This window comes from Homo sapiens, chromosome 1 (assembly GCF_000001405.40).
Source record: "Homo sapiens chromosome 1, GRCh38.p14 Primary Assembly".
NCBI lineage: Eukaryota > Metazoa > Chordata > Mammalia > Primates > Hominidae > Homo > Homo sapiens.
Window position 1 is genome coordinate 91,382,562 of NC_000001.11, and position 12,339 is coordinate 91,394,900.

General features: G+C 36.6%; 1 protein-coding gene across 19 annotated transcripts in view; it reads right to left on the reverse strand.

Moving 5' to 3' along the window:
- Positions 1-12,339, reverse strand: part of HFM1 (helicase for meiosis 1) — a 147,242-nt gene that overhangs the window by 121,796 nt on the left and 13,107 nt on the right. For 17 of the 19 annotated variants that reach the window (NR_165455.1, XM_011540852.3, XM_017000490.2 and 14 more), the window contains 3 exons: positions 11,532-11,841; positions 3,014-3,273; positions 2,626-2,673 (listed from right to left, as the gene is read on the reverse strand). The exons of 1 other annotated variant lie outside the window; for it this stretch is intronic. Coding sequence is in view for 17 of the 18 variants with exons in the window: in XM_011540852.3 (XP_011539154.1) it covers positions 2,626-2,673; positions 3,014-3,273; positions 11,532-11,841 (618 nt within the window). In the remaining variant the exon portion in view is untranslated. The remainder of the gene's footprint in view (positions 1-2,625; positions 2,674-3,013; positions 3,274-11,531; positions 11,842-12,339) is intronic. One more of the 19 variants, XM_011540857.2, reaches the window with a different exon arrangement.

A 12,339-nucleotide genomic window follows, 5' to 3' on the forward strand; every position in this document is an offset into this window, starting at 1 on the left:
ATATCTGTGCCAAAACAAAAACGTAATTTTGAGTTTGAAAATCCATCAGCTTTAGAAGGAATCTCAATTTTCCTTCAAAACATGTCTCTTTCTATCAAATATTTATTTGTAACAAGCCCACGAGTGGGCCATCATGTTGGTTTTTCTCTCATTAGATAGTTCCATATCATTCACAAAATGAATCTTTGATTCAGAGTATAGAATCAGTATTTCAGCTCATAAGAAAACTCAACTGCTAACATCATTTATCATCACTATCAACACTTGAAATCAATTTTTTTCCTTACATTCAATAAACTCTCAGCAGTGTCACTGAAATAATGGGGAAATGTCTGCAGAACTGAAAATGACAAGACTACTGTGGTAGGACCAATCTGAGAAAACGTCTATTGCCCTGAGGATTCAAATGCAGTAAAATATTTAAAGAGAATAAGAAAATAAGGTGTGTCCAAGTAATCTACAAACTCTCAAATTATCACAAATAGCATTCAGTCTTCCACTTTAAAATACATACTTGGAAACAATAAGGTATAGGACAATGAGTTTTACACAAAATGAACTTTTTGGACAATAAATCAGTGGACACAAGTGTAGGCAGTAGTCCTAACTAATAAAGACCCCTAAACAACAGAATCACTTCAGCTGTGCTAATATAGCATAAAAATCCTCAAAGCTCTTTAAAAGCCAGTGTCATATTATGGAAAGGCTTTCCAGTAAGGGATAAGAAGAATCAGCCATCGTACAGATAATTAAACATCTTTAACAGCTTACTGCTAATATATTTCCTATGTTTCCATCCTATTTTGATCACCACAGAAAAGAAAATGTGGCAGCATTGAGACACTATGCTGAATAAAGTGCTAAACACTGGCTATGTTTATAGTTACTATATCAACATGTATAACTCTCTTATTGATCCCTCTCCCTCATTTTTAATCAAATCAGCCATCTGCATTGGAGGCAACTTTTCATGAGAAGTCAGGCAAGTATTTTCTAACCATACTTCAGAATTATGTCAGATGATCCTTCGAGTGCCCAGGATTAGAGTTATTGTTGCCTAGATTTCTCTAGCACAGCTATGCAATATCTGGAATTCATTTTTCATTTTGTCAACTAGACCATAACTTTTGTGGATGCTAGAGCATTGCCAAGCATTGAGTCACTAATTATATATTCCTAAAGCATAGTTTAAATGATATTTGAACTGCTTAAAAAATATTGCATGGTTTCTCCTCATTACAGAGATTGCATTTTCACTACAAAAAAGAAGTAACTATGAGAGGCGATAGATACATTAATTAGCCTGATTGTGGTAATTATTTTTGCAATGTTTACATATTAAAAAATATCATGTTGTACTCCTTAAAAAATATACCATTTTTATTTGTCAATTATACCTCAACAAAGCTGGGGGAAAAAATAAAAAATAAAAATAAAATAAAAAAACCTTTGACCTTGGTATTCATGACATTATATGATATGATTCTAAGATAACTATCTAATATTTCTTATTACTTCTTTAATCATATCTGTCACTTTAGCCAAACTGGAAAGCTTATTCTTTCCAAATGTATTTCATACTTTTTTACCTCCACCCTTGCTTATGTCTCTACTTTTGCCAGAACAATTTCCTTACTTTACCTGCCTTACTTTATCTGCCTTTCAATGTATTTGGAAATAGGCAGGTAAATAAGTCATGATGTTTGCCTTCAAAGAGTTCATAGATCATGGGGAAACAGTCACATAAACTGCTGGTGAATTAAAACAAAATAAGTGCACTATCATAGGCATACACAGGGTATTAAAGAAGCAAAAACAATGTTACCTCCAGAACACACAAACATACTCAAAATATTTACACTGGAAATGTCCAGACATGAAAATTGGATTCTAGGTATAAACTCCAAATTAGATTTTCAAAAATACTAGATCTGTAGAAATGTCCCCAATCCACACAATATCCCATTCTCATCCATTTCCCCTACCCAGTTCAACCCAATTTGGCTGCTCTTTCTCAAAGGATGAGAAATTATCTGTACCTATTTGTAAGTAAATATGCTCAGAGTTCTGCCAATAATACAAATCTGACTTCTGTACTTAATTTGCCATAAACTGATAACAAACAGGTCACAAATCGGCACCAGTCTGCAATCACACCCTGAGTAGCACTATCACACACATACATCTTTTTTTTTTTTTTTGAGATGGAGTCTCACTCTTTTGCCATGCTAGAATGCAATGGCACAATCTCAGCTCACTGCAACCTCTGCCTCCCAGGTTCAAGCGATTCTCCTCCCTCAGCCCCCTGAGTAGCTGGGATTACAGGTGCACACCACCAGGCCCAGCTAATTTTTTACATTTTTAGTAGAGACAAGGTTTCACCATGTTAGTCAGGCTGGTCTCGAACTCCTGACCTCGTGATCTGCCTGCCTCAGCCTCCCAAAGTGCTGGAATTACAGGTGTGAACCACCGCACCCGGCCACATGTACCTCTTACAACACCAAAAAGATTAATTTTTCCCTCTTTTTCTCCATCAACCAAAATAAACAAACACAATTAAACAAATGTTTTAAAATTATGATTTAATAAATACAAAGCAGCTATTGTAAATAACTTAAAGGATACGAATTTCTGTGACAGCCTTCAAGGAACCTAAACCATTTTCTGTTACCTCTGAAAAAAAAATGCTACATATTTATATAAATATCAAAAAAAAATTAATGGTCAGAAGCTAGGACCTGAAATGAATATTTTTAACCTTTCCATAAAAACTGTTTCAATAAAACTAACACAACTTTTTATTGAGAGCAAAGTTAAAAATATTTTTAGCACACAGGATAAAATATTTTAACACACAGCACAGCTTAGAAAATAATGCAATATAATAAAAAAATGCAGAAATTGCACAGAGAGATAATTTACTCAAATTTACTATATTTTTACATTTTCCCCCATGCTAAGAAATGTGGTTTAGTCTGTACTCATAAAATGAACTGAAAAAGCAAGAAATTACCTTGAATATCATGAGGTTGGAAAGCAACTGAAAAAGATGGTGCTTTGAACATGCCTTCTCCGATTTCAGAAGCAGAAAAAGCATTATTTGCTGTAAACACATTTGCAGAATACTGAAATTTTTGCTTACTATTGCTATAGTTCCTTGATTTCCCTTTGTTCATTTCTGTTTGTACAATTTTCACTGAGCCAATGTGAGAGTCCAATTCATTGTCATTAGAATAAGCACTCCCATGTATATTGTCAGATATTTTAAATAATCTGCAAACAAAAAAAAGACCCACATATTTTCTCACGTGTAACACTTGCTTGGAATATGAAAAACTAGCATAAAATTGGCCCCCTTAAAAACACTCATAGATTATGGTTTACTCAAACAAAAAAGCTAAACATTCTCCTAAAATATAACTTGCTAGTTTACCACTGAAGTATGTCTTTCTACTTTCCTAAAACTCAGATAAATCCATTTGTGGCAGTCATCCTCCAAAACAGCCCAATGATCCTTGCCTGCTCCTCACCCCTTTACAGTCTCCTACAAATTGAATCGCTGAATCAGGACTGGCCTGTCTAACTAGCAGAGTACTGCAGAAGTGTAAATGTTTGACTTACAAGGCTAGGTAATAAAAGACATTGCCCCTTCCCCATGGTCTCTTAGATCTCTCACTCTGTGGAGAGCTAGTCACAATATAAAGAAAGCACTCAAACAACCCTATGAAGAGGCCCAGGTGGAGAGGTACTGAGGTCTCCTGCCAACAACCAGCACTGACTTTTCAGTCAAGGACAGCAAGCCACCTTGAAGAGAGACCTGATAGCTCCTGTCAAGCTTTCAGATGACTGCAGCATGGCTAACATTTTGATTGTGGCCTTCTTGTGAGAGGCCCCCAATACCTTTACGCATTCTCACAAGAGAGCCTAAGCCAGAACTACTAGCTAAGTTGTTCCTAAATTCCTAGCCTGGAGAAACTGTGAGAGATAATAATGTTCATTGTTGTTTTAAACTACTACATTTTGGGATAATTTTATTATACAACAACAGATAACTAATGTTCCATTTAAAGTCAGTAAAGTGCTTAAGAGAGAGAAAAAGCCACTAAATATAGTCACAGTAAATAGTAAATTTCATAACACCTAATAGTATTTAAATTTAACTGAAGTGATTCAAGTTACTGAATTATATTAACATATTCAATTTATAGGAATAAGTTAACAGACTTGTTATGAATTAAAAGTTGTCAGCAACTGCATTTCACGCCACAGAAGCTACCAGATAAGACAGTTTTCCTAGCCAATCAAATCAGCATTGTGTATCCCCCCAAAAAGGAAAAGATATAAACTAAGTATATTAGCAGATTAAATCATCCCAAACACTATATCCAATAACCATTTCAATGTAAGAACTACTTCTCTGCAAAGTTCTAAAAACAAGGAAACACTTTATGACTGTACTGTATTATATTTGATCAAAAGACAATCTATCGAAGTAACTTGTTCACAATATCCCTAAGGGATGAAGTAACCGTTAAGGTTCCTAATAAAACATTCACATCTTATAGAATAAGTAATGGAGATGACTTATCCATTCAGGGGCTGAAGATCAAGTTTAATTAGCAATGGCCAGTGATTTCATCAGTCTTGTCTATGAAATAGAACCTCCAGCTCACGTTCCCTATTAGTGGGTGAACAATCCAACGCTTGGTGAATTCTGCTTCACAATGATAGGAAGAGCCGACATCGAAGGATCAAAAAGCGACGTCGCTATGAACGCTTGGCCGCCACAAGCCAGTTATCCCTGTGGTAACTTTTCTGACACCTCCTGCTTAAAACCCAAAAGGTCAGAAGGATCGTGAGGCCCCGCTTTCACGGTCTGTATTCGTACTGAAAATCAAGATCAAGCGAGCTTTTGCCCTTCTGCTCCACGGGAGGTTTCTGTCCTCCCTGAGCTCGCCTTAGGACACCTGCGTTACCGTTTGACAGGTGTACAGCCCCAGTCAAACTCCCCACCTGGCACTGTCCCCGGAAATGATGAGTTCATGTCCTTTGTAGGGACATGGATGAAATTGGAAACCATCATTCTCAGTAAACTATCGCAAGAACAAAAAACCAAACACCGCATATTCTCACTCATAGGTGGGAATTGAACAATGAGATCACATGGACACAGGAAGGGGAATATCACACTCTGGGGACTGTGGTGGGGTCGGGGGAGGGGGGAGGGATAGCATTGGGAGATATACCTAATGCTAGATGACACGTTAGTGGGTGCAGTGCACCAGCATGGCACATGTATACATATGTAACTAACCTGCACAATGTGCACATGTACCCTAAAACTTAGAGTATAATTAAAAAAAAAAAATTAAAAAAAAAAAAAAAAGATTTTTAAAACAAACAAACAAAAAAAAGAAATAGAACCTCCATTAAAATGCCTAAACAACAGGGTTCTGAGAGCTTCTGGAATGGTGAACACATCAAGGTGCTGACAGAGTGTCATGCTCAGAGAAGTTATGGGAACTCTGCACCCCCTCCCTCATATTTTGCCATATGTATCTCTTTCATTTGGAGTTGTACCCTTTATAATAAGCTGGTAAATGTAAGTAAAGTGTTTCCCTTAGGTCTCTGAGTCATTCTAGCAAATTATTAAACCTAAGATGGGGTCATGGGAAGCCTCAAATTTGTAGTTGGCCAGACAGAAATGTGGGTAGCCTGGGAATCTCATTTTCAGCTGGAATTCAAAGTGAGGTCAGTCTTACAGAACTGAGCCTTCAACCTGTGGGGTCTGACGCTAATTCCAGGAGTTAAGTTTCAAATTGATTTAAATTGTTAGATGCCAAGTTGGTGTCAGAGAATCAGTCGGTGTCAGTCAACACCCAGTCTTTACATTTATGGTCAGTTGATTTCCAATGACAGTGTCATGACATTCAGTAGGGAAAGAACAGTCTTTTCAACAAATGAGGCTGGAACATCTGAATATCTACATGCAAAAAGAATGAGAATGAACTCCTACTTCACACAAATATTTAAAATATGAAATAATAGATCACAAATGTAAACATAAGAGCTAAAAACTCTGAAACCCTTAGAAGAAAACTTAAGAGTAAATCTTCATGACCTTGGATTAGGCAATAGTTTCTTAGATATGACACCAAAACCATAAGCAACCAAAGTGACGCCAAATCAGTATTACATCAAAGCAAAAGCATAAGCATAAAAGAAAAATTAGATAAACTGGACTCTATCAAAATTTAAAACTTGCGCTGCGAAGAACACCATCAAAAAAGTGAAAACCCACAGAATGGGGGAAATACTTGCAAATCATACAGATGATAAGAGACTGTTATTGGGAATAAAGAACTCTTAAAACTCAACAATTAAAAGACAAATAGCCCAATTAAAATATGGACAAAGGATCTGAATAAGACATTACTCCAAAGAAGACATACGAATGGCTGATAATCACATGAAAATATTCTTAACATTATTGCTACAGACTGGATATTAATGTCCCTCCCTCCAGATTCATATGTTGAGGCCCTAATCCCCAGTGGGTTTTTTTGTTGGGTTTTTTTTTTTTTTTTTTTTTTGAGATTGAGTCTGGCTCTGTCACCCAGGCTGGAGTCTCGCTCTGTCACCCAGGCTGGAGTGCAGTGGTGTGATCTCGGCTCACTGCAAGCTCCGCCTCCCGGGTTCAAGTGATTCTCCTGCCTCAGCCTCCTGAGTAGCTAGGATTACAGGCGCATGCCACCACATCTGGCTAATTTTCGTATTTTTAGTAGAGACAGGGTTTTACCATGTTGGTCAGACTGGTCTCGAACTCCTGACCTTGTGATCTGCCCGCCTCAGCCTCCCAATGTTATGGTATTTGGAGGTGGGGCCTTTGGCAGGTAATTGGGTTTAGATGAGGTCATGAGGGTACCTCCCCATGATGGAATTAATGCCCTTATAAAAAGAGGATGAAACATGAGCTCTCTCTGTTCATACACACACCAAAGAAAAACCATGGGAGAACATAACTAGGAAGAGGGTCGTCATCAAGAACCCAACAATGCTGGCACTCTGATTTCTGACTTCCAGCCTCCAGAATCGTGTAAACAAATGTTTGTTATTTACACCACCCAATCTACAGTATTTCATTATACCAGCTCAAAATAACTAAGACAATTAGTCATTAAGAAAATGAGATACACCACAATGAGATACCTCTTCACATACCCAGTAGGATGGCTATAATAAAAAAGACAGAAAATAACAAGTACTGGACAGAATGTGGAGAAACTGGAACTCTCAAATATTGCTGATGGGACTATAAAGTGACGCAGCCACTTTGGAAAACAATTTGGCAGTTCCTCAGAAAAGTTAAATATAAAGTTACCATATGACCCAGCAATTCTACTTCTGGGTTTATATCCAAAGAATTGAAAACACACATTCACACAAAAACTTGCATGCATTTTCATAGCAATATTATTCACAATAGACAAAAAGTGAAAACAACCCAAACATCCATCAACTGATAAGTAAATAAACAAAATGTGATATATCCATTTAATGGATTATTATTTGGCCATTAAAACAAAATGAAATACTGGCCAGGCATGGTAGCTTACGCCTGTAATCCCAATACTGGGAGGCCGAGGCAGACAGATCACACAGTCAGGAGATGAAGACCATCCTGGTCAACATGGTGAAATTCCGTCTCTACTAAAAATACAAAAATTAGCCGGGTGTGGTGGCGCACGCCTGTAGTTCTAGCTACTCGGGAGGCTGAGGCAGGAGAATTGCCTGAACCTGGGAGGCAGAGGCTGTAGCGAACCAAGATCACACCACTGCACTCAAGCCTGGGTGACAGAGTAAGACTCCCAAAGAAAAAAAAAAAAAGAGAGAAAGAAAGGAAGGAAGGAAGGAAGGAGGGAGGCAGGGAGGGAAAGAATGAAAGACTGATACATAACACAACATGCATGAACCTTAAAAATATTAAGTGCAGCCATTCATGCTAAAAACTCTCAATAAACTAGGAATTCATGGGATATACCTCAAAATAATAAGAGCTATTTATGACAGACCCACAGCCAATATCATACTGAATGGGCAAAAACTGGAAGCATTCCCTTTGAAAACTGGCACAAGACAGGGATGCCCTCTCTCACCACTCCTATTCAACATAGTGTTGGAAGTTCTGGCCAGGGCAATCAGGTAGGAGAAAGAAATAATGGGTATTCAATTAGGAAAAGAGGAAGTCAAATTGTCCCTGTTTGCAGAAGACATGATTGTATATTTAGAAAACCCCATTGTCCCAGCCCAAAATCTCCTTAAGCTGATAAGCAACTTCAGCAAAGTCTCAGGATACAAAATCAACATGCAAAAATCACAAGTATTCCTGTACACCAATAACAGACAGAGAGCCAAATCATGAGTGAACTCCCATTCACAATTGCTACAAAGAGAATAAAATACCTAGGAATCCAACTTACAAGGGATGTGAAGGACCTCTTCAAGGAGAACTACAAACCACTGCTCAATGAAATAAAAGAGGACACAAACAAATGGAAGAACATTCCATGCTCATGGATAGGAAGAATCAATATTGTGAAAATGGCCATACTGCCCAAGGTAATTGATAGATTCAATGCCATCCCCATCAAGCTACCAATGACTTTCTTCACAGAATTGGAAAAAACTACTTTAAAGTCCACAGGGAACCAAAACAGAGCCCGCATTGCCAAGGCAATCCTAAGCAAAAAGAACAAAGCTGGAGGCATCACGCTACCTAACTTCAAACTATACTACAAGGCTACAGTAACCAAAACAGCATGATACTGGTACCAAAACAGAGATATAGACCAACAGAAAAGAACAGAGCCCTCAGAAATAATATCACACATCTACAACCATCTGATCTTTGACAAACCTGACAAAAACAAGAAATGGGGAAAGGATTCCCTATTTAATAAATGGTGCTGGGAAAACTGGCTAGCCATATGTAGAAAGCTGAAACTGGATTCCTTCCTTACACCTTATACGAAAATTAATTCAAGATGGATTAAAGACTTAAATGTTAGACTAAAACCATAAAAACCCTAGAAGAAAACCTAGGCAATACCACTCAGGACATAGGCATGGGCAAGGACTTCATGACTAAAACACCAAAAGCAACGGCAACAAAAGCCAAAATAAACAAATGGGATCTAATTACACTAAAGAGCTTCTGCACAGCAAAGAAACTACCATCAGAGTGAACAGGCAACCAATGGGAGAAAACTTTTGCAATCTACCCATATGACAGAGGGCTAATATCCAGAATCTACAAAGAACTTAAACAAATTTACAAGAAAAAAATCAAACAACCCCATTAAAAAGTTGGCAAAGGATATGAACAGACGATTCTCAAAAGAAGACATTTATGCAGCCAACAGACACATGAAAAAATGCTCATCATCACTGGCCATCAGAGAAATGAAAATCAAAACCACAATGAGATACCATCTCACACCAGTTAGAATGGTGATCATTAAAAAGTCAGGAAACAACAGGTGCTGGAGAGGATGTGGAGAAATAGGAACACTTTTACACTGTTGGTGGGACTGTAAACTAGTTCAACCATTGTGGAAGACAATATGGCAATTCCTCAAGGATCTAGAACTAGAAATACCATTTGACCCAGCCATCCCATTACTGGGTATATACCCAAAGGATTATAAATCATGCTACTATAAAGACACGTGCACACGTATGTTTATTGCGGCACTATTCGCAATAGCAAAGACTTGGAACCAACCAAATGTCCATCAATGATAGACTGGATTAAGAAAATGTGGCACATATACATCATGGAATACTATGCAGCCATAAAAAAGGATGAGTTCATGTCCTTTGCAGGGACATGGATGAATCTGGAAACCATCATTCTGAGCAAACTGTCGTAAGGAAAGAAAACCAAACACCACGTGTTCTCACTCATAGATGGGAATTGAACAATGAGAACACTTGCATACAGGGTGGGGAACATCACACACCGGGGCCTGTCATGGGGTTGGGGGTGGGGAAGGGATAGCATTAGAAGAAATACCTAATGTAAATGACGAGTTAATGGGTGCAGCACACCAACATGGCACATGTATACATATGTAACAAACCTGCATGTTGTGCACAGGTACTCTATAACTTGAAGTATAATTTAAAAAGAAAAGAAAAATATTCACCTCCAAAAAAAAATGTTACGTTAAGTGAAAGAAGCCAGGCACAAATAGCCATATTTTGTATAATTGCACTTATATGAAATGTTTAGAATAGATAAATCCATAGAGATGATAGAGACAGAAAGTAGATTAGTGGCCACCAGGTGCTGTGGAAAGGGAGAAATGAAGAGTAACTGTTAATTAGTAAGGAATTTATTTTGCAGGAGGTGAAAATGTTTTAAAATTAGTTAATAATGATGGTTGCAAAAGTATGCATTATAAAAACCAACGTGGGTAAATACATAAGAATGAAAAAAATAAGAAAATAAAATAATTCTACACTTTAAAAAGGTGAATTTTATGGTATGTGAATTATATCTTAATAAAGCTGTTATTACAAACATTATAGAAATCAACCTCAGCTGGACCCTTTACAGTGTCCATCAGTCCTACCATTATTCTAATTAGACTGCTTTCCCATTCTCCATAATTTATTCCATTCTTCTCATTCTTGCTCAATACTCTCACTTTCTCTCTCAAACTCCACAGATAACCACATCTCCTATGTCACAGAAAACAAAAACAATCAACTAAACTTCTTCTGAATCTTGAATCCACATACCCAACTGAATATCTGAACTATTTATAAATATCTAAAATCAACATGTCCATATCTGTACTCATCACCTTCCCCCGAACCTGTTCTTACTTTATAGTTCTTTAAATCAAAAAAGGGCACTACCAACCTTCATCATTCTGGCTCAAACCAAAAACCTAGGAGTCAGATCTCATATCCAATAATCACTTAAGTCCTGTGGGATTTTATCTCCTAAATAATTCTGGATTGTTTCCATTCCTGATACCACTGTCCTAGGTCAGGCTACCATTTTCTCCCATCTAGACTAATAAGATAACCTTTCAAGTGGACCTTCATATTTTAACTCCCTTCTATTATAATTTATCCTCCATACTGGGGCCAAAATGAACTCTTAAAGAAAAGAAAGTCTAATTTCACTCCTCTGTTCAAACCCAAGGCATTAGGAAAATGGGTCTCAAACTTTTGTGTGCATAATAATCACCTAGAAAATTTGTTAAAAATGAAGATTCCTGTGTCCCACCTGGACTGTTGTGGTACCATTTATAGTAGATAGTTATATATTACAATTATGGTTATTTTTATGTGTAGGACCAGGACTATGACACCAGGAATGGAGAAAGTAAGGAATTATTTAGGAGATAGAATTTTGCTGTTTTTCTCATTCACATTGTACCATATTTAATACTTTTATATGTACAAATATTCAACTTTATTCACAGAATATTATTTAGTTTAATTATAATAATTACCTTTTCCGGAATACTGATGTGCTCTCTCCTTTATCTTCTGCAAAATTAACTAATTTTGTATCATCAGGAACACTCTTCTCAGGTGCTATCTCAGTGCCAATGTGATTTTTATATTTCTGAGAAGCATATGTCAGCTTGCCAGCAATATGTGATAAGTCATTATTACCTACCCCTTCTAAATTTAGATCATCCTGTTCATATTTATCAGAAGGAAAGGCAAACTGGAATTTTTGTGTTAGTGAAATATAATTTGTATCTTCATTAGTTATCTTTAAATTTGATGTTAACATTTTTGGCCTCTTTTCCTGACCTACAAAAAAGGAATATCTTAATTATTACATGTTCTCCATTAAAGGAAATTTTCAAAATGATGATGAAAAACTTTAATAAAAATTCCAAGTTAAGTATGAAAGCCAAAAGCAAAGCACTAGTAATAAGCTCATCTGTAATACCATATACGGTTTTAAAATATAGGTGATTGTTACACTTATGGTATATTACATCATTAACAGACACTCAGAAATTAATGTGGAAGTATTGAATTAAATTTGAAGTTTATATGGCACTGCATTATAAAATAGATTTAATTTCTTTCTGACCCATAACAAATGATATAATTATACAATTATGAAGATTTAAAATTTATATAAATGATTTACACACAGAAATACAATGACCAATTATATAAAATGTTACCAAACACAATTCATTATTAACATATCTAATGCTTTTAAGTTTGCAATCTTGCTTCTAAAATCAAAATAAAGGAATGTTTTCATCAGAGTGACAGAAGTTTAAAGGTTTCTTT